This window comes from Homo sapiens, chromosome 15, assembly GCF_000001405.40.
Source record: "Homo sapiens chromosome 15, GRCh38.p14 Primary Assembly".
NCBI lineage: Eukaryota > Metazoa > Chordata > Mammalia > Primates > Hominidae > Homo > Homo sapiens.
In genome coordinates, this window is record NC_000015.10 from 62,780,725 (window position 1) to 62,803,320 (window position 22,596).

Here is a 22,596-nt window from a genome sequence, read left to right on the forward strand (position 1 = left end):
GAGAGTCTGCCTCCTTTCCCACCTCATCTTCTGGCACTTTGCGCTTCCCTAGAAGTGTCAGGCTGGCTCCCGCCTCCATGTACGTGAATTCTGTTCCCTTTTCTTGGGATGCCTTTCCCACCTTTTACATGTGGCAGACTCTTCGCCTGGTAAGACTTGGCGGAAACATCACTCCTCTGGAAGGCCTCCCACTCCTCTCAGGCAAGGCTGGGAGCCTCTCCTTGCCATGTACCCTGAATGCCTTATGTGCCCTTCTGTTGAAGTCCTTATTGCACAAGTTGGGTAATTGAGTTGACACTGGGCGAAAGAATCTCTGAGGCCCTCTCTGTTTTTCAAAGTTCCTAATTCTCGTAAATACAGTCTACACTTCAGCAGGCTTCTTATGACCTTTGGATTCTTTTCCTCTCCTCTGTAGCTGGATGAAGGCACTCCTCCAGAACCAAAGGGAACATTTGTCGACTATCAGACGACTGTGGTTAAATACTCCAAAGCCATTGCGGTGACAGCTCAGGAAATGGTAAGAGGGAAGAGAGCTGCCCTCCCCACTGTTGTTTGCCTTTTTATCCACTGCCGCCGCTGAGCCTGCAAATCCCAGATCTGTGTCAGAGAGAGAGCCCAGACCACTCTCTAGTCCCTCAGGGGCTCCAGCTTCTGTCCTTTATCTGTGGTCTTTCTGGCTGCCTGTGTCCAGTAGCCCCAGTCTGCTGCAGTTCTTTTCTCATGAAAAAGCTGCAAGAGGGAATTAAAGATGGCTGAGACTTGGGCATGAGGACAGAGGAGCAAAGGAAGGAGAGAAAATGAAAAGACGGGGAAAGCAAGGAATTTGTAGTTAAGGAGAAAGGGGGAGAATCTTATTCACCTCACGAAGGACTTGAGGTGTTTTTAGTAGATTAAAATAACAGTACAAGAGAAGATATTTGGGGATAAAATAGAGATGAGATTATCTGATGAAATCAAGTTATAATACTTGGAAAATAAGGTATTGCCAGTCTTTCAGGCAAAATGAAACAGTATGGTTATGTAATAAGAAAAAAAAAATTCCGACAGTAGAAGGCATACAACTTTTGGAGGTAATGTTTTGGTTTGGTTTGGTTTTTGTTGTTTTGTTTGTTTGTTTGTTTTTCTAAAATGTAATGCAACTAGAACTGTATTATATAGATTCTTAGATATAAATGGCATTGAGAGATAGTGAATGCTATCTGATATGTTAAGCAGTTATACGAAAGATGACAAATGTTGTCTTCAAAGAATTGATAGGAGTCCATAGAAAAAGTTTCTCCCAACTTTTAAAGGCTCAGATGCCATAAGATAAAAGTTTGAAAGATGCCTCTTTGATACTTGCCACATAAGCCTGGGTTGAGAAATCAATGGGCCTTCCTCGCTGAAGTGACCAGAATGAGCCACCACATGGTTGCTGTGCCCAGGTCCCCTCTGAGTGGTTTTGTCATGTAATCATGTGTCCACTAGGGGTTGAGCTTGGACCACAAAGTCATCCCTGGCTGCTGCCATTCATTCATGGAAACTCTGTGATTGTGCCAGGCTTGTTTAAAAGAATTCGGGCTGGGGAATGGTACACCCATCTCAGTGTTTTGTGAAAAGCTGGAGCTGAGCCCAGTCTTGTCCTTCTCAGGGGAGCATGGAGGACGGATCCTAGTCCGAGCCAGCAGACTTTCAGCACAGATTCCTGTTGAGCAGGAAGCACAGTGCAGCAGCAGTCATGTTTGAGCAGCCTCATGGTGTTTCTGGAATGTCTCCAGAGCCAGGTCCTGAGCTGCCTTGGCTTGACCCTGGGTGTCCATGAGCTTAAGGAGCTGAGCCTCAGGCTGCATGGCCACTCCTGAGATAACTGGCCTGGCTCTTTGTGTGAAAGAGGCCCTTCTCACCCCGTCAGGATGCCCAGACTCCCAGTGCACCTGTTGGCAGGTCGCAGTGGAGCAGCACGTGGCAACACTCACTCTCGTGCAGCTCAGTGTGCGTTCCTTGGCGGCCACATCTCAGCCTGAAGCCTGGGACGTGTCCTTGTACACATGCCTTAGAAAGGGTGGACATTCCTGTCCTGCCTTGATGGATGGAGAGTCATTCAAAAGACATTTTAAAAGGCTGTTTAAAATCAAGGTCTTAAAAGGCCACAAAGAAAGAGACAGTATTGTTATCCAGAGCAAGAGGAGGTGGAGCAGGAGGGGAGCCCCTTGATGAGGGACAGTGACACCCGTCTGGGTGGCAGATTAAAACTGCTTTTGTGAGAATTTAGAGGTATTTTTGTCCAGAGGAAGAGGAAACACTAGAAACTAGCATGCCAGCTGCCTTAGATAATTGAGATGCATCAGTCAATGAAACAGAGAAAAATCCTGAGTATCTTCATAATAAAGGCAGAACTTGACCATGTGGGCTACACACTACTCTTAACTAAATTTGTGGCTAAAACCTTGTCATTCTTTGGCACAAATTTACTGCAAAGCTGTATCCTCTATGAGTGTTTTCCTCTAAAACACTGACTTATCCAGCACTTGTCATTCATGGTTTTCTTAACAGCCCTGTCCTCATGCCCTCTCTCACCTGGGTGGGACCTGCTTCAGGGCACCCAGAGACCAGATCAGCCCCCGACAGAAGCCTTGGCCCAGGGGTGAAAATCGCATAGGGCTTGTGCCTCCTGGGGGTTTCTAGGGGGAATTCCTCTGGTGACCCCCCAGGGCTGCGCTGGCGAGGGGCTGGCACACTCACCTGCCAGAGGGTGGGCCCTGGGCACTGGCTCCAAGCTGCACAGCCCGAACGCTGAGCATGTGCCCACTGGGCCCGGCCAGAATCTGTGGCCTGAGCGGGGCCCTGCGAGGGCTCTGGCCTTTTGTGTGCAATGCAGCATGGGCTTGGCTTGAATTGCCCTCTCCAGCATCTAGCCCCAAATGCAAGGCCTGGCCTTCACCCCCTCAGGAGCTTAAAAGTGAATGAAACCCTTTGGCTTCCAGTGATATTAACACATGGTTCTCATGCGTTTCTCTCTGTGTGTGTGTGTGTGTGTGTGTGTGTCTTGCTTGTTTTCTTTTTCCAGATGACTAAGTCGGTTACTAACCCGGAGGAGTTGGGAGGACTGGCTTCACAAATGACCAGTGACTATGGGCACCTGGCTTTCCAGGGCCAGATGGCAGCAGCCACGGCGGAACCAGAGGAGGTCTGCCACCTTAAGACCCCTATTTTAAGATGCACACACACACTGGTGCCCACTCCTGGGTATTTCTTCATAGCTTAGCTCCACTCTGGAAGACCCCAGCCCAGTAACCAGAGCCCAGTTTATTTCCCCACCACTGCACAGCACAGGTCCAGACCAGGTAGCCCCAGGCTGTACTCAAGTCTCACTGCCCCTTATGGGGCAGACTGGCCAAGAACTGGGGCATGGGCTTTCAGACAGAAGGACTTTGTATACAGTGTTCTATCAGGTCCCCTGTCCCTAGCCCTGTCACCTGTCTCTTTTAGCATGCCCAAGCTTGGGACTGCCATCTTATCACTTCCTACTCCAGTTAGCACATCCCCCGCAATTATTTTTGTTTTCCATAGGTTCACAGAAGTGTTGAAAGATTCAAGTATGAAAATTAGCTATCCCTCTCCCTCGAAAGAGCTACTTTCATGAAACAAAGTCTTGCCTGAATATTCTGGGTGGCTAAGAATTAGCCCAGACATACCTCCTGTGGACTCCTTTTATTACTTCCCTGCCTTTCCTAGACCAGCTTTCCTTAGTGGCCAGTGTAGACTTGGCTTTAGAATGCCTGTACCCGTAAGAGTCTAACGGTAGCCAAAGTTGGGCCCCAAAGGCCACTTTCTAAGAGCTGCCATCTCTCATACTTCTAATGGGGTGGTCCATTGGGAAGGACACAGGTCATGTGTGGCTCCAAGGAGCTTTGTAGCATCTATATCAGTGTGAACACATAGAAGGAGTCCAGGGCTTGGGGGAACCACATGGCTTCTTAGAGAAAGGAAGCCCAATTTAAAATGAAGATTAATGGAGTGGATTACAGGGACACTTAAAAGATAAAAGTAATTATATTCTGTGAAATTCAGCAAGCTGTTTATTGAGCGCAAACCATGTTCGAGACGTTCCTAAATGAACTGAGTTGTCAAGGCAGAAGGTTGTAATTGGTCTTCTCTTCTCCTTATAGTGACAGTCACTGTCCCCAAGTTACTCAGTGCTGCTATTTCTCCTGGGAGTCAGATCTAAGTATGTTTTTACAGAGACTCCGAGAGATATTCCAGAAATGAAGTCCCAAAACAAATCACTTTCTAATGTGTGTGGTAACAATGCATGTAAATAGGAGTACCATATATGTATGTACTTGCATACATAAATATCTAGCATGGGATTACTTAAGTCTCTAACAGTGCCTGCATTTTGAGATATTAGAATAATTGACTAGGCTGTAGCATGAATAATTCTATTTGCAATGAGTGTGAAGTCACTACCAAGAAAAGAGAGTTATCAGATACCCACATTAAGATTCTGTTGATTCTTTACACAGGCCTATCATTTTTTTTTTAAATAGACTCCCTGTTTTAGTAAGATCATCTAGATTTATAATTCATTTGACTAACCTATAATTTTGAACTCCATAAACAAATGTAAGGGAACTTCTGTTACAGTAAGGAAAAGTTTGCTTGGACAAAAGGAAAAGTGGGCTGGGCGTGATGGCTCACGCCTATAAGCACTTTGGGAGGCCGAGGTGGACAGATCACTTGAGGTTAGGAGTTCAAGACCCAGCCTGGCCAACATGGCGTACCCCCTTGTCTACAAAAATACTGGGCGTGATGGTGTGCGCCTGTAATCCCAGCTACTTAGAAGGTTGAGCCAGGAGAATTGCTTGAACCCGGGAGGTGGAGGTTGCAGTGAGCCAAGACTATGCACTGCCCTTTAGCCTAGGCAACAGAATGAGACTCCATCTCAAAAAAAAAAAAAAAAGGGGAAGAAGTGTTTGGCAAGGGAGGTTTGGATATCTGTCCACAGAAACCTTTAAAAATGGAATCTACCACCATCTGCCTTAGGTAGTTTAACTACTGTCTCCCTGAACTGTCTGTATAGCCCTTTCCACATGAGTTCTTGTAAGCTACCCACCCAACGTGTGAAACAAGCAGATTTTTTTTTTATTACGACAGAGACCATTGAACCAAAGTATAAAATAATGCCAAAACAGCAAGGAAAGAGAATGTGTTGCTAAAAGCACAACAACAGGTTACTTTGGTTATTGGCCCTGCATTTGCAGCAGCTGACGTTTTCATTAAGGTTTTCCTTTTCACTGTTACATCTTGAGATGTATTTTACATTCCAGACACGAGAGCAGTGTGACCTGGAGTGAAAAGGGGCAGAGAGAATATAAAATTTCCAGTGGCTTGCTAAGGAAAATTCTTTGTGTACATTTGCCAGACAGATATTTGGGGAAAACTGAGAAGGTTAGGAGATCCCTGAAGCAATGTAGTTTTTTATTCCAAGATCGTGGAATTATTTGTTTACCCAAGAGGGCCCCCTATCACAACATGTGAAAATATTTATATCCAGGGGAAATAAGGAGCTGCTCCCTTCGCTGCAGTCCCGCAGTCCGCTATGCAAGGTCAGCATTTTGGTCTTTTCCAGAATGTGACAATTACAGGAAAAGTCATAGCTCTGCCCTGGAACATCAAGCAGGAGCTTTATCTGCTTATTTTTCATGGAAAATTCAAGCCTTTGTTAACATCACTTTGAAAACTTCTTTCTTTGGAAAAGTTAAAAGCCTCCAGCAGCTTTGCAATTTAAGATTATTTTCCCCTTAAAAAAAGAAGAAGAAAGAACTCGAGATCCTATGAGCCACAACTTCTAAATGTAAATCCTGAGGAAAAGATTTAGCGACAACAGCTTTGTCTCTGAGGAAAATGTGCAGTAACCACTTGAAATACTGGATGCCTTAAAAGCTGGCGCAATCATTTGTTAAGATGATTTGTGAGAACCACAGCCCTTTCCCCCAGATGAAATGGATGTCTGCTTTAGAATTCTCTAAAATTTTCCACCCCAAGACACACGTGCTGGAGGTGGGAAAATGATGCCCCAGTGCCATTGGAACCACTCTTTTATTAGGTTGGTGCAAAAGTAAATGCAGTTTTTGCCATTACTTTTAGTGGCAAAAACCGCAATTACTTTTATGCCAACCTAATAATAATTCTATTACCATTATTATTATTTTGAGCCGGGGTCTCACTCTGTTGCCCAGGCTGGAGTACAGTAGTGCAATCACAGCTTACTACAGCCTTGAGCTCTGTCCCAGTCTTAAGCAATCCTCCCACCTCAGCCTCCCAAGTAGCTGGGACTGCAGGTGTGCGCCACCATGCCTGGTTAATTTTTCTATTGACAAGGTCTCACTATGTTGCCCAGGCTGGTCTCAACCTCCTGGACTCAAGCCATCCACCTGCCTCAGCCTCCCAAGTGCTGGGATTACAGATGTGAGCCACCATGCCCAGCCACTTTTTTCTTCCATGTTTTCTATCTTTGTCAGATAAGTTCCATTCTTGCCTTTTCAACTTTCACAAGCTGTCCCAAGCAAATTATATTTGACCTGGTTTCAGATGTAGTTGTTTTTTAAGGCTTGGGAAAAACCAGTGTGTTTTGTTGTGTTTGAGGCAGTGAGGAAAGGCGATCAGGATTCCTTAGACCCCCTCCAACTGGAATCAGATCCAAAACTTCATAAAGACCAGGCTTTTAACTTCCCCCAAGGCACAAAACCAGGAGATGATTTTCTCCATTTTACTTTTATTTCGACAAAAAAAGAATTGAGGGTTTTTCTTGAGTCTCAAGTAACACTTTTCTAAAGTTGCCAATTTAAAACCCCACATTTTATGTCTTTGAGCTACATTCCTTTCTAATAAACACTGGTAGTTCGTTGGATCACCCTGTGGGCTGGTCATATTTACTGAGAAGCTCACTATTGCATGGAGAAGCTTAGCATTTTTAAACTCCTTATCTTTTTTTTTTTTTTTTTTTTTTTGAGACAGAGTCTGTCGCCCAGGCTGGAGTACAATGGTGTGATCTCGGCTCACTGCAACCTCCGCCACCGGGTTCAAGCGATTCTCCTGCCTCAGCCTCCTGAGTAGCTGAGATTACAGGCACCCACCATCATGCCAGGCTGATTTTTGTATTTATAGTAGAGACGGGGTTTTGCTACATTGTCCAGGCTGGTCTCGAACTCCTGGCCTCAAGTGATCCACCCATCTCAGCCTCCCAAAGTGCTGGGATTACAGGCGTGAGCCACTGTGGCCAGTCTAAATCTCTTATCTTTTTGGATACAGACTCAAAAAATGAATTTCCTCTGTGGCTCACGCCTGTAATCCCAACACTTTGGGAGGCCGAGATGAGTGGATCACTTGAGGCCAGGAGTTCGAGACCAGCCTGGGCAACATGGCGAAACCCTGTCTCTACTACAAATACAAAAATTAGCCGGGCATGGTGGGGGGTGCCTGTAATCTCAGCTATTCAGGAGGCTGAGGCAGGAGAATCGCTTGAACCCGGGTGGCGGAGGTTGCAGTGAGCCAAGATCGCACCATTGTACTCCAGCCTAGACAAAAAGAGCGAAACTCCATCTCAAAAAAAAGAAACAAAGAATTTCCTTTCAAGGATGTTCCCCTAGTAAAACAAAATGTTCTGGGAAATTGCCAGTAGACTGTTGGTTCTGTTGTCCTCTTTCATTTAAATGCCCTAGCTGTTCCATGTGCCTCTGCAAAGTAATGGTAAGAGAGTTATTATTTATCAAGTCCTACCGCATGTCAGATGCTGTGATGGGCCCAATCTTGTTTCTCCTCACAACTGCAGTGAGATAACAATCTTTTTTTCTTCCCCATTTCACAGATAAGTAAACCCAGGCTCAGGGAACTTAGTTAAACTGCCCAAGACCACACAACTACAGTCGCTAGTATGCGAGCCACTTTAAATAACTTTTTGGAATAAGCGAATGTTCCAAGTAAGTAAATAAGTTAACAAGTAAATATGTGGAGTAGCCAGGATTCAAACCCAGGTTAGTCGGGCATCACAACCCTGGCTGCCTCTCTGTACCAGTCTGCCTCCTTTTCCAGCAGTACACATTCATATGGCACTTTCATCTTTTTGAGATTTTCCACATGTACCTGTTCATTTGACCATCCCATCAGCCCCCAGAATGGGACATAGCTTCTGTCCTGTGTCACAGGGGAAGGAACAAAGGCCCCTCAAGGTTAATGGGCTCACCCAGAATGTCAGGTTCCCAAGGAGAAGGCAGAGCTGGATGAAGGTCCCTAGTCCTTTCTGCTGCCCAAAGGGGTGAAACATTGAGAACAGGGCTGGCTGGGAATCCTGAGATCCCATTCTTCCTCTTAAATTCAGCCCTCCTGGCCCATGAACATCAGTGGATGAAGCCTGTTTCAGCTTGTCCTTGATAACCCTGCATCCCTTCCGTGTGCTGTCCAAATAGGATTGTGCAGACACACATGCAAGATACCTGTGAGGCTGAGCCTCAAGGGGGTCTCCAGGTACCTAGATGACAGTTGCGTGACTTGGCACAGCGCTGAATATGGAGGCAAAGCCCTGGGTTGACTGAGAACACCAAAGGCCTTTGCAGCTGTTGCCTCACTTACTCTCATCCCCTTGTTTTCTGGTGCTGGCCTTCCTTGGAGCTTCTTAACTGGAATTTTATTTCTGATGACCACTGGGCCAGCTGCACCATTGATCATATACAGGCTCCCTTGCTATATGCATCGTGTCACCTCCAAGAAAGGGGCCGGGCAGCAGGGCACTGGGGTATGTTTTTAGAGCGTAGCCTTTGGTGTGGGGTGGCACTAAGGGAACACAAAAGTGTTGTTGAGGATGTGTCCCACCATGGATCATGTCATCCCATAGGGTTCAGGTTCAAGACAGCTCAAGAGCGGGTCCTCCCTCCCTCCCACTCTCAAGGGGATTTAAGATACAGGTGTTCGTCCCGGTGCCTTGCATTTTGCAAATAGAAAGCTCAGGCTGGACTCTGCACGGGAGCAGGAGGAGTGCACAGAGAAGTTTGAGAGCCTGGGTCTCTTCTAGCATCATGGTTTCATGCCATGTTCTTCAAAACCCACGGAGAAGGTTCTGCATGTTTGCCCCTAGTGTCACTTTTTAAACTTAATTTAACTATTGTAGAAACTGTTAGGAAAACCCGCCTTGCTGTCAACCTTTCACTCATGTGGGTGGCAGAAAGGAGCTTTTGAGTGTGGTCTTGGCCAAATGGGAACCCCTTGGGGGCCACCGGTGCTTTGCTTCAGGCTGCTGGGTAGTTTTGTGCTGATCTCAGGCTGCTGCTGCTGCATCTGCCTTGTCCGCAGTGGTCAAGAACTGGGAGGAAACTGCTCTCCTTTGCTTTCTTTATGCATGTAACAGGATTTTCTCAACACTGTGTCACCAAAGCAAAACACAGAAATAATTTGGTGGCTAAGGCTGTAACTAGCCTTCATAACCTTATCTGTAAAACTTTGATTCACTCAGTCTCATTTTTGGCTTTTTATTGGGTCAAAGATACACATTTTAACTCATAAAGGAAGAGTATACTAATAACCCATTACTGCTATCCGTTTGACGTATTGAGATCCACAAGAGATTTAATTTCGAGAGGGAGAGGAAGGGTTCTGCTGCTAAGTCGAAAAATCAAAGAAGTTAGAAAAACACTGATCTACCGAGTAGAGCACTGTGCTCAGGATTAAAGACCTGGATTCTCACCTAGTTTTGCCAGGGACCAGCTGTGTGATCTTAGGCAAATCACATCACTTCTCTGGGTCTGTAAAATGGGGAGGTTGAACTGGTAAGATCTTTTTTACCTTGAAATTCTATAAATGTTTCTAACTCCATTTCCTTCTTACTTGACTTTTCCAGCAGCACTTTATCCTTTAAAGATCTGTGGTCATCACTGACCTCAGAGCCCTTGCCTCTAGATTATCTTACCCTGAAATACTTAGGTTTTAACTCTGTGGATCTGGAACACTTCAAGAGCCAGATTGTTTGAAACTTTAATGGGGTATACCCCTGCTTCAGCTTAACATTATTTTCAAACCAACAAACATGTCCCGCAAACACATATATTTAAATGACATGACATCTGTGTGGGCTGGAGTGTTTTTCCCGCCTCAGCGGCAGCCATACTACTACACCAGTCCAGATCTGTTTGCAGAGCTGCCGTGTTGTGCAGTCCAGAGGTGCTGCTGCTGTTGTATTCTGCATGGAGGTAGTCAACAAGACAGCCCTGCTTAATTATGAAATGTCTGTAGCACCCTGTGTACGAAGGTGTATAGAAGTGTATAGAAAGCACCCAAAAGAGCAGCAGCTTGGCTGGGCCTGGTGGCTCACACCTGTAATCTCAGCACTTTGGGAGGCCAAGGTGGGCGGATCACTTGAGGTGGACGGATCACCTGAGGTCAGGAGTTCGAGACCAGCCTGGCCAACATGGTGAAACCCCGTCTCTACTAAAAAAAAAAAAATACAAAAATTAGCTGGGTGTTGTGGTGGCCACCTGTAATCCCAGCTATTCAGGAGGCTGAGGCAGGAGAATGCTTGGACCTGGGAGGCGGAGATTGCAGTGAGCCAAGACCACACCACTGCCCTCCAGCCTAGGTGACAGAACAAGACTCTATCTCAAAAAAAAGAAGAAAGTGTGTAGAAGACACCTAAAGAGCAGAAGCTCAACTTTGTCGATCACGAGAATATTCTACTAAATGGATTTAAAAGTTCTTTGGGCCTTTAAGGGGTTTAAAGGAAGAGAGTTTTTTCCCTAAAAACAGTGTTTCAATAATATGAGAAATAACAATTGCAGCACCCCTCATTCTCCAAAGTCACCCTTTCTTTAACTGTGACTAATGAGATGGTATTGGAAGATAGCATCCAGGGGGCCAAAAATCTCCCAGGTTTTATTCACAATACCTGAGATCTTTTCATAACTATTCCTGATAGACGCTGGAAAAATAAAAGCCATAGCTTCTAGCTCTTGTAGATTCTTGAAAATAACACTGACCCATGCTTAAAGTTTTGGTTAGGTTTGAGTTGCCTACCTGGGCTGGAAGGCAGATTATTTATGGCAGCTGTATCGATCAGACCAAAATGAAATTTGATGTGAAACAGGGCCGGAGGAATGCAAACTTCGGGGAGGTGGAAGTGGAATTTGTTACACCTTAAAGGAGACAGCTGGCAGCTAATCCACAGCGGAGCCCACTTGGCCTCTCTTAGGCAAAGTACCTTTTATAATCACACAACCCAGGAGTTATTAAAAGAATGTGTGCCTGCTGAGCTTTTAGCTCTAAAAATGTACCTTTTAAAGGAAACCTCAAACCTGGCCTGATAGGAAGTCTGGGCTTGGTATGGTCGCTGTCCCCATGGGATACAGCTGGGGAAGGGGGTGTTCTAGTTGGTAAACATACCAATTTTGCAAGAATCTGAACACTTCAAAATATGCTTAATACGGAAACCACATTTTGAACCTCTAATTACCCTCTAGAGCTATTTTGAAGAATAAATGAAATTAAACACATTACCTGCTTAGAAGAGGCCTTGACACACAATAGGGGCTCAGTAAATGCTTGTTGAATGAATAACAGAATTATCCCACAAAGTTCCTCTAATTAACATTCTTACCAGGTGGCTGGAGGAGCAGATAAGCTATAAACCAGGAAAGATATGTATCAAGGAGGGTATCACGCTAGGACCTCAAGATACAGCCTTGCTAGGTAGAGACTGGGCATTTTACAGTCTCTCAAAAGGGAAGCAAAATCAACCAAATTCCATACTTCACCAAACACAGACTCCTAATAGGAGTGGAATTTTCCTAGCCAGGCTCCCATAGGACATAGGAGAAATTTTCCACGTAGGGAAGGCCTCGATGGCAGAGTCCATCACGCTTCTCCTTCCCCATCCTGGGCTTGCCTCTGCAGATCGGATTCCAGATTCGCACTCGTGTGCAGGACCTGGGCCACGGCTGTATCTTCCTGGTGCAGAAGGCAGGGGCCCTCCAGGTCTGCCCCACAGACAGCTACACCAAGAGGGAGCTGATCGAATGCGCCCGTGCCGTCACGGAAAAGGTAAGGAGCAGCCCTCAGTTTAGAGTCACAAGAACCTGCGCTGGCTCTCAGTGATCCGCTGTAATCAAGGACAAAAGCAGGAAACTCAGCCAAAACTAACCCAGCTGACTCAGCTGTCTCATCCCGATCTTCCCCACTGCCCAGGTTCTCCCAAAAATGGGGTGCATCAGGGAGCTGGGGTGATCATAGGCCCAGAGAATTTGAGGGCTTAGAGGGACTATCCCATGAAGGTCAGGCCCTGGCACTCCCCCTTCTTGCAGGGCTTCCCCGTAGGCAGATTGTATCAAAGTCCCCATCAGCAGCCAGGAGCCCCTGGTCAGGGGAGGCCTGGAGCCAGAGCCCTTTCCTGCAACCTCTGTTGACACCATCTTTCTTCTCAAGGAGGCTGCTGAGGGCTGAGGGCTGAGTCAGGAGGAGTGAAAATCCCTTTGGTGTAACCTCTAATTTACAGATGAGACAGTGAAGTGGGGGTGGGTTAGGCCACATGGGGCAGTGGCGTGTGCCTTTGTGGAGAAGCAGAAACTTGTCCTCGGTTTTCTGATTCTAAAGACAGTTGTTTGTAGAGAGATTCCCATGGGGTAGTGAAGAAGGCTCTAAGATCTTAGCTAAGGTACTTCAGCTTTCCACAACTTGATTTCCTCATCTGTAAAATGAGGATAAAAATATATAATATCTGACTGATAGAACTGCAAAGATTTACTGTGCTGATATGTGTAAAAGTGCCTGGTACAGTGCCAGACACACAGTTACACATGTAATAAATCTAGCTACTGTTTTCTCTAACTTTCCTCCAAACTTCTTTTTCCCCAGGCAGTTTTCCCCAGTTAACCACGCCATACTCTGAATGTTTCTTCATTCCCAAGTAGCTCTTCTATTCTCCCCCAGTATGCGAGTCTTTTGCTTTGCTTTTTGTCTCGGAATCATTTTTCAGGTCAGCTGTTTTGCAGGCTGCTTGAGGTACAGGATAAAGCATCCAGGCTTGGTGGCTTTTCCCCTTCCCTTAACTCTGGTTCATAGGACACAGAGCTCTGTCCTGTTTAGAAACTTGGCAACAGACTTGAGGGGCGGGCAGGGGGGACCCTCAACTGGAAGCTGCTGCCACAGAGGCTGCTCTGTCCGTGGCCCTCCCTGAGGCCAAGCTACAGTCTGGCCTTCTCCCATAGCCCACAGGGCTGTCCAGCCTCCTGGGACTCCACAGACGAGGAAATAAATCTCTCAGCTGGAGGAAGGCATTTGCCTTCCTTTCAAAGCCCTTTCTTGTTATTGAAGTTATTCTTGCCAAGTTCCCCCATAAAAGGCCTTATAGCGGGAGCACCAGGAAGGGAGGAGAGGGGTCCGAGCTACATAGTGTTTGTAGGCATGGCCAAGCAGCTTGGTCTTCCTGAGCTGGCCTCGGCCGCTACCTGTCCCGGCTTTGGGTCCCTGATTTAGGACACCTGGAGGGACCACCAAAGGAGAGGAGGTGGCTCGTTCCTAGCAACTGGCCTTTTGACTGTTTCTTGCTGTGCGTCCCTGTCCTCTATGCCTTGTGTCTCGTTATATGCCTTGATGGTGTGTATAGTGTACCCACACACAGCCATGACTTGTCTGCCTTTGTGTCCTCAGACCCTAGTGACTAGCAGATACTCAGTAAACACCTGCTGGCTGGCACACCCTTCACAGAGGGTGGGATGCTATTTCTGGACTCTTTTTCTTTCACCTTGGCTAAGAATGTCTCTCTCCCAGACACATATACAACCCTGCAGGCTTCCCGTGATACTTGTCTTGGCCTTTGTCACCCATCCTCTGAGGGGCTTTCCAGAACCTGGATACCTCATTTCCCGGCCAGCTCTATGCCAGTCTGACTTGTCTTTTCCTGGCAGGACCTAGTAGCATTTGAAAGAAAGGCAGATGAGGAAGAGAAACAATTCCTTGTGGGCTGGTCTTGGAACGTGGTAGGTACCCAGGAAATGGTCCCTGTGCCTCTCCTGCCAGACTGTGTCCACAGCCTCTGCTGAGATCTCAGCAGCACGGGGGACAGAGTGTCTCATACTCCATGCCTCTTGCTGGCACGGTAACACAGTGACTCCCCTGCCCTGGTCAGCATGTTTGAAGAAATCTACCTACGAAACGTTGTCAGATTCTTCTTTGGGTCGTAGTCAAGGGTAGTGGGTGTGTGCACGCAGAGGTTAATACAAAGACTCAAAGAGCCTCCAGCCACTAGCCTGACACATGCGATTTACATTGGGTGCATTGGGCCATCCTGAGGGCAAGAACGGTGTGCTGTGGCGTCCCGGGAGGCAGGGCTGTCTCTGGAAGAGGAGAGCAGGGGGAGGTGTCCGGGGCTCAGCTGTTTTGCAGGCTGCTTGAGGCACAGGATGATACATCCGTGCTTGGTGGCTTTTCCTTCTTCCTTCACTTTGGCATCTGACGGGGCAACTAGTTCGGTGGCTGCGGGAGAGGGGCAGGAGTCGTTGCAGGCAGAGCGCAGACCCAGGGTGGAGAGGTGGGAGTGTTTGGGAAAGTCAGGAGCTGGCGGGTGTGGTGAGAGCCAGGTGAAGCGGACACATGACCAGAAACGGAGCTCAGCCAGGGGAGATTTGTAAGCAGGGTGTTAGTGTGGTCAGGTTTATGTCATAGGAAAGTACCTCGGAGCAGTGAGGGTGTACGTGATGGGTGAGGGTGACAGCACAGGATTTCTGACATGGAAGACACCCGAGTGAACTTGCTGGGCCCTCGGGGCACTGAAATGATGGTTCGGGGGTGGATGATGGCTTGCAGGAGTGTTAGAAGTGGAGAGGTCACATACACAGATCCCCTCTAGACTCCAGCCCTTCTGAACTCCATTCTGGAGAATTTCCATCCCAGCAAAGGTGTGATGAGTGTTAGCAGTGGCCTGTTCCTACTGAAAACCTAATAAAAGGGGATGTAATCGCCACACCTTTCACAGGAGTCTAATCCTTTCTCCCGTTCTGTGGTTTCAGAAACATAGCAGTAATTGAATAAATAGCATCTGCCCTCTGCTGAGTACTTACTATGTGCCAAATGCCTTGCTAGACACTTTACAGATATTTTTCTTCCTACTTAATTCTCTCAACAACCCTAATAGGCCAGAAATAGTGGCCCCATTTTACAGATGAGGAAACTGAGGTTTGGAGAGGTAAAGCAGCTTTGCCTAAGGTCACAGGGCCTGTAAATGGCAAAGCTGGTATCCAGACTGAGGCCGTTGACTCCAGATGTGTGTTGTTAACCTCTAAGCTACATCAACTCCTAGGAGAGAATTCATTATTTTCAGAATCTGCTTTTAGGTCCTGTTCTCTCCATTTCTTAGCTCCCCTCACATTCCCTTTCTGCCTACAGGTCTCCTTGGTGCTCTCGGCTCTCCAGGCCGGGAACAAAGGAACCCAGGCATGCATTACAGCCGCCACCGCTGTGTCTGGGATCATTGCCGACCTGGACACCACCATTATGTTTGCAACAGCGGGGACGCTGAATGCAGAGAACAGTGAGACCTTCGCAGACCACAGGTACGTGGGGGTCCTGGACGGGGAGAGGTTCAGGCTGGCCTGCCCCTGAAACTCATGATCGACTTGGAGACGCCACCTGGGAGCCAGAAATGTAGTTATCTGTTTTGATTTCAACAAGATGCACAAGTTGGGAAAGTGAACCATGTAATCAGAATAAGCCCCCTTTGCCAACTGTAAACACAGTGTCGTGGTTCGAGCTTTGCCTTTGACAGCCTTAAATCCAGCCTGCTACAGCAAAGGACAGATTTTAGACCTGCCACACGCTGAGCCAGAGAGCCGTTCCTCAAACTGCTGGCCAACCCCAGCAGGATTGGGAATGGCAGGGGCAGGCATATTTCGCTTAAACCCTGTTTTGGGAAGATAGGGGCTCAAAGCCCCTATCTCTGCTCAGCTTGCACTCAGCCTCTCTATCTGCTGCTAGGGACCCCTGAAACCTCACCACATGTCCTATACCTTTCTTCCCCTCTGCAATCCAAGGGCTGGGCTAGGGAGGCAGTTCCCAGAGCTCTGCTGTCCCTTCCCAAGCCCAGCCTCTGATCCTGAACAAGGTGCCCCAACCCATGTGTCCTCACAGTCACTAGCTATGGAGTATTTTAAGGGACAGTGGGAGTCACAGAAAAGAAGCTGACCTTTCATTGAACTATAGGGCTTGGGAAGGGAGCCAGGTTGGTGGGCCTGACTCTTTCACTGAAGTTTTCATGTCAGTCGGCTATGTGAATGAATACTGGTTGACTTTCTTCTTCTCCCCCCAGTTTTGCATTTGTGGAAGATGAGAGTCCGTTGGTAAAGGGAGGTGTAACACAGCACTTCTCTTCTTCAAAGCCCTTTAACAAAAGCCCCATGTGAGGGATTTCTTTTCTTCTTGAAGTAATCAAGCTTTGCCCTCTGTCTCTCCCCCTCTCCCCTGCCCTCCTGGCTCTCTCAGGGAGAACATTCTCAAGACGGCCAAGGCCTTGGTAGAAGACACGAAACTACTTGTGTCAGGAGCTGCGTCCACTCCTGACAAGCTGGCCCAGGCGGCCCAGTCCTCAGCAGCCACCATCACCCAGCTCGCAGAAGTGGTCAAGCTGGGGGCAGCCAGCCTGGGCTCCGACGACCCCGAGACCCAGGTACCAGCAGGGCCTGGGGAGTGCGTCCTCCCGGTCTTCCCGTGAACGCTGCACATCGGGCCTCAGAAGAGGCCTAAGGCAGAACAGGAACTTTTGAAGTAGACAATGTGTGTGTGAGTGTGTCTGGTTTGAGGAACCGGTAGGAGGCAGTCATCCAAGCGAGATAGTGGCACAGACTGTGGTGGTGGCCATGGGGATGGAGACAAGCGGAGGGATTTGAGAAGAGTCTAGAAGGAAGGCTTGGCCTGGCCCGGTGAAGGCTGGAGCACGGCATACCTGAGGGAGGGGAAGGAGTGAAAGGCGGCTCCTTGTGGGCCAGAGCAGGGCACAGGAGCTCCCTGAAGGGAGAGCTGGTGTGGGCAGGGGGAGGTGGAGGAGATTGAAGTGCCGGAGCCACACACAGGTAGAACTAGTGAGTGCGCGTGAGCCTGCCCAGGCACGGGGCTGTGGGTTCAGCGACTGTTGCCATAGAGGTAGCGACTGCAACCACACGAGAGGAAAAGCCAGGGAGTCGGGGCAGAGCCTGGAGGAATCCAGCATTTAGGACCACTTTACCGTGCAAGTGGCACAGGAGACGGAGAAGCAGCAGCTGCTGCAGGGAGGAAAGCCGCGGGCATCATGTTGCCAGGATGGAGTGTTTCAACCCACCAGAGACAGAGTTAAGAAAGAGGGAAGACTGGGAACTGGTTATTGGCCTGTTCCGGTAACCATCGAGTGCCATCGAGGACATTGGTGTCCCCAGCTGCTTGTGTGGAGTGGTGGGGCAGCAGCCAGATGGGGGTGGGGAAATGAACTCAGCACCTGTAGATGGCCCAGGTGAGAACTTCGGTTCTCAAGGAAGAGAGAGAAGAACTGGAAGGCTAGGGAAGGGCCCTGTGCTTCTGTGACTTCCGCTTCTGATATTTGGCAATTTCATTGAGATTACTTGCCTGTTCCTTGGTCCCCTTCCCAGACCATTGCTCCTCAAGGACAGTCACCACAGTTTGCTCATCTTTGAAACCTGCACATGCGGCACAGCTCTTGGCACATAGTGGCTACTGGCTACTGAACAAGTATATGTTCACCTGTTGTTGAACTAACAGCCAACAAAAGTCGCTAATAAATGGATGATGCCTGTTCCCAGAGTGCAAAATTTAAAAAACAAAAACAAAACAAAAAAAAAAAACCTCTGTTCTCTCTGTTCCCAGAACCGTCAAATGCCAAGCACTTCAGTTTTCACTCCTTAAACCATTCTCAGTAAACTAGTCTGTCTGGACAAAACTGGTTAGAAACCCCCTGTCATTCAGTGCCCCCAGGGGATGCAGTGACTGTGCTGGTTCACTTGAGGCCACCAGCTCGTTCCCTCACGGCATGACACTTCCCTCCCTGACAGCACCCATGAGTGGAGCACAGCTCCGAGAGGAAACATTCCTTATGCTACCATTTCATCCTTTCTGTTGGATTTCTGATAACATCAGAGTCCAGATTGGCTGCCTTTTGGAATTCTAAGCATTCACAAAAACCTCCGCTACAGGTGGTGGGTGCCTGTAATCCCAGCTACTCGGGAGGCTGAAGCAGGAGAATCACTTGAACCCAGGAGGTGGAGGTTGCAGTGAGCCGAGATCACGCCACTGCACTCTTAATACGTTGTCACATCTGAGATCCCAGTTTATCTTCAAAGCAATTTAATGAGGTAGATGGGGCTAGCAAGCTAATTTCACTGTGGATGAGGACCCAGAGCCACGCACACAGGCATGGCGCAGTGTGGAGGTTAAGACCGTGGCCCTCATGCTCACCAGACTCTGAATCCCAACTCTGCCACTGCTGGGCTCTGGGAGTGTGGACATAAGGGTTGTGGTTCCCACTCGAAAAGGCAGTGGCGAGGAGTAAATGAGATAATGTGTGTAGAGTGCTTGGCTCAGCACCTGAACACTGCCCTCAGTAAAGGGAAAATGTTTTTATTATTATAGAAATAGGAGTTACTGGAGCTACTGGACTGGGAACGCTTAAATGCAGTGCCCAATATTGTGTAATTCCCATCTAGACCTGGTACTTTTCACTCTAAATCCGGCACTTTGAAAAGATGATCTGTGGTCTCTGTGAAATTAGAAAAGCAAACACAGATAATGCATCACATCCAGGTTTATGTGGGAACGTACCTGCATCTTCATTCCACAAGTATTTACTGAGTACCTGCTGGGTGCTCATCCCTGTTACAAGCGTGAAACAAAGCAGAAGTCCAGGCCAAGCCTCCTGGAGCTTGCACTCAAGTTGAGGGAGAAGACAGATGATTTATAAGTGAATAAATGATAAAATAATTCCACCTACTGATAAGTGCTGTAAATAAAACGGCAACCTGACAGTTTCAGCAATTGTGGGAGTGGGCCCTTAGCTGAGGGATGGGGAAAAGCCTCTGAGGACATGACATTTGAGTTAAGGCCCAAGTGATGGAAAGAGCTGAGTCCCAGTTAGAACAATGAGCAAAGGTCCGAAACAGGAATGAGTTGAGATTTCCCATGGAGAAGAAGACAGGCTGACCTGTGTGCCTGTAGCAGAGCACCTCATAGCCAGAGAGGCAGGCAGGGCTGTTGTGGGGCCTTGAGGGCTGGGGTCAGGTGGGGATTTTTACTCAGTGTTCAGGGTGCCAGTTAGGAGTAAGTGGTGTTGCCTCTCTGGTGTCCTTTGTGCTGTCAGAGGCAGCTCATCGGCCAAGTTGCTGGCTAGGAGGTTTTACATAAGCTGCATGTTTGCACCTGACTTCTCCGTTCTGGCTCAGCTTCAGCCTCCCCTGGGCAGCTTTTCAAAGTCCTGAGTCCTGTATCAGAATCACCAAGGGTGGCTTCCCAGGAGGTCTGCCATGCTGCAGACTTCAGACTGTCTTTCTCTCCTCCCCCGTGCCCTGGCCTGCCCTCAGGCTGCATGCCTTGGTAAAGCCCACAGCTGACATCTTGACGCCTGCTCACCTGAGTTCTGTGCTCTCTTTCAGGTGGTTTTGATCAATGCCATCAAAGATGTGGCCAAGGCCCTTTCTGATCTCATCAGTGCTACCAAGGGAGCTGCCAGCAAGCCAGTGGACGACCCTTCCATGTACCAGCTCAAGGGGGCTGCCAAGGTAGAGTGGGGCTCCGACTGGGGATGAGCACCTGAGTTCTCTTCTCACTTAAAGGAAGGAGAGGCGTCCTTGCTCATAGCATGCGATCCAGAAGTAAAAGGAGTAGGGGCTGGACCTGAGTCACTGCACTATCTGTATTCATTCTCCCTTCCTATGCAGGTGATGGTGACCAATGTCACCTCGCTCCTCAAGACTGTAAAGGCAGTGGAGGATGAGGCCACCCGGGGCACCAGGGCGCTTGAGGCCACAATTGAATGCATAAAGCAGGAGCTTACGGTAAGGAGCCAGCAGTTACCTCCCTTGGGTACCAGAGTCCCACAGCTGACCCCAGTGAGGGCTCATTTGAGGTTTTTTACCAATGAGGTTTTACCTAAAACACCTGAACTGAGAATGCCCCTTCACCTGCCTGCTGGTAGCTTTATATAATTGAGACCCCATGTGTCACTGAGTTTGGCTGGGATTGATTTGTAAGTGTAATCAAGGAGTTAATTGAAATGTATCACTTAGGACTATTCAGGTTTACTTCCACTAAAATTATAGCACGAGATCAAAGCATTGTCAAAGATTCCTGGAAAAAGGGAAAGTCAGTATGACTGTGCTTACCTGGAGCATTAATTCTGTGAACAGTGCTTAGCCTTTCTTGATGCACATTGCTCTTGGTACCCGCACACATGCAAAATTGGAAGTCTGCCGTTTGCTGTTGGAAAAGCCTAGAAGCCTTTACCTGAGACACTTCCCTTTAAAATCCAGCTTCTTTCCATTGGAGTCATCTGACCTGAGAGAAATTGACCCTGTTCTTTTCTGACTTGTTCCAGCATTGCAGAGTTGAGGACATTCTGGAGTTACTGCAATGTGGATGATATCTGCTGTTCTTATGATCCCACAATGGTTGTGGATTGGCTCATTCTAATCCCCACAAATAGAAATATGCCAAAAAGAGTAGTTTCAAACAGATTTCTTTTTGATAGGAGGTCTGATCACAGATTCAACTTTTTTGGGAAAGAGGGATACCTGCCTTTGCTGCCAATTGTTCTGCACCTTTAAAGGGTCACCTGCAAAAGCGACCTAGAGCACTAGAAACAATAGTAGAACAATTTTGCAGGGTTTTGCTGACAGAAACTTGGGTTTTCTTGTCATATCATTAAAGAATCTAGCCTTGATTGATGTTGCGCTCAGTTCATGCTTTAAAGGAGAATCTAAAAAATACAGGAGTAACCTAAAAGCTGGTGGTGCCTTAAGTACCACTGCCTGGCACTTGCCTGGCTGCACAGGCTGGGTGTTTGCTACCAAAATCTGGACACAGCTCCTTTTTTGTTATTTGTTTATGTTTGATTTTTGTGGGTACATAGTAGGTGTATATACTTAGGAGTTACATGAAATATTTTGATATAGGCATGCAATGCATAATAATCACATCAGGATAATTGGGGTATCCATCATCTCAAGCATTTATGCTTTGTGTTACAATCCAATTATACTCTTTTAGTTATTTTTAAATGTACAATTAAATTATTTTTTACTGTAGTTACCCACTGTGCTATCAAATACTAGGTCTTATTCATTCTTTCTACTTTTTGTAGCCATTATCCCTCCCCACTTCCCCACCCCGACCTCCCACTTCCGTACTACCCTTCTTAGCCTCTGGCAACGATCCTTCTACCCTCTATCTCCATGAGTTCAATTATTTTAATTTTTTCTGTCACAAATAAGTGAGAACATGCAAAGTGTGTCTTTCTGTGCCTGGCTTATTTCACTTAATGACCTCTAGTTCCATCCATGTTGTTGCTAATGATAGGATCTCATTTTTTTTTTCCTATGGCTGAATAGTACTCCATTGTGTATGTGTACCACAGTAGCCAAGATTTGGAAGCAACCTAAGTGTCCATCAACAGATGAATGGACACACATATACAATGGTACACACACACACACACACACACACACATATATATAATATTGAAGAGATATCTGCACTCCCATGTTTATTGCAGTTTACTTCATATATATGATCTTGGCTATTGTGAATAGTGCTGCAGTAAACATGGGAGTGCAGATATCTCTTTAATAAACTGATATCCTTTCTTTTGGGTGTATACCTAGGAGTAGGATTGCTGGATCACAAAGTAGCTCTAATTTTAGTTTTTTGAGGAATCTCCAAACTCTTCTCCATAGTGTTTGTACTAATTTACATTCCCACCCACAGTGAACAAGGGTTCCCTTTTCTCCACATCCCTGCCAGCATTTGTTATTGCCTGCCTTTTGGATATAAGCCATTTTAACTGGGGTGAAATGATATCACATTGTAGTTTTGATTTGCATTTCTCTGATGATGAATGATGTTGAGCACCCTTTCATATGCCTGTTTGCCGTTTGTATGTCTTCTTTTGAGAAATGTCTATTGAGACCTTTTGCCCTTCTTTTGATTATTATATTTTTTCCTATAGAATTGTTTGAGCTCCTTACATAGGCTAGTTATTAACCCCTTGTCAGATATGTAGTTTGCAACTGTTTTCTCCCGTTCTGTGGGTTGATTGTTTCCTTTGCTGTGCAAAAGCTTTTTAACTTGATGTAATCCCATTTGTCTGTTTTCATCAGCTATACTATTCTGGAGTAAATGTTTTTTTCCTTCAGGACTTTAAATATGTCATGCCCCTCTCTCCTGGCCTGTAAGGCTTCCACTGAGAAGTCTGCTGCTAAGCATATTGGAGCTCCATTGTGTGTTATTTGTTTCTTTTCTCTTGCTGCTCTTGGGATCCTTTCTTATCCTTGACCTTTGGGAGTTTGATTATTAAATTCCTTGCAGTAGTCTTCTTTGGGTTAAATCTGG

The 22,596-nt window shown here is 47.1% G+C and overlaps 1 protein-coding gene across 2 annotated transcripts in view, besides 2 other annotated features; it reads left to right on the plus strand.

Annotated features, from left to right (window-relative positions):
• The window catches only part of TLN2 (talin 2), a 454,082-nt gene that overhangs the window by 390,175 nt on the left and 41,311 nt on the right, over window positions 1-22,596 (plus strand). For both annotated transcript variants that reach the window (NM_015059.3, NM_001394547.1), the window contains 7 exons: window positions 416-517; window positions 3,047-3,166; window positions 11,917-12,063; window positions 15,403-15,569; window positions 16,495-16,678; window positions 19,644-19,769; window positions 19,929-20,045. In NM_015059.3, coding sequence (NP_055874.2) covers window positions 416-517; window positions 3,047-3,166; window positions 11,917-12,063; window positions 15,403-15,569; window positions 16,495-16,678; window positions 19,644-19,769; window positions 19,929-20,045 — 963 coding nt within the window. The remainder of the gene's footprint in view (window positions 1-415; window positions 518-3,046; window positions 3,167-11,916; window positions 12,064-15,402; window positions 15,570-16,494; window positions 16,679-19,643; window positions 19,770-19,928; window positions 20,046-22,596) is intronic.
• Window positions 1,382-2,310: an enhancer, noted in NCBI's record as "H3K4me1 hESC enhancer chr15:63074305-63075233 (GRCh37/hg19 assembly coordinates)". NCBI's record gives its function as "activates a minimal SCP1, AML or CMV promoter by ChIP-STARR-seq in naive and primed H9 embryonic stem cells {active_cell/tissue: H9 hESC(naive and primed)}" and the evidence as "EXISTENCE:reporter gene assay evidence [ECO:0000049][PMID:30033119]".
• Window positions 15,534-16,034: an enhancer, noted in NCBI's record as "H3K4me1 hESC enhancer chr15:63088457-63088957 (GRCh37/hg19 assembly coordinates)". NCBI's record gives its function as "activates a minimal SCP1, AML or CMV promoter by ChIP-STARR-seq in primed H9 embryonic stem cells {active_cell/tissue: H9 hESC(primed)}" and the evidence as "EXISTENCE:reporter gene assay evidence [ECO:0000049][PMID:30033119]".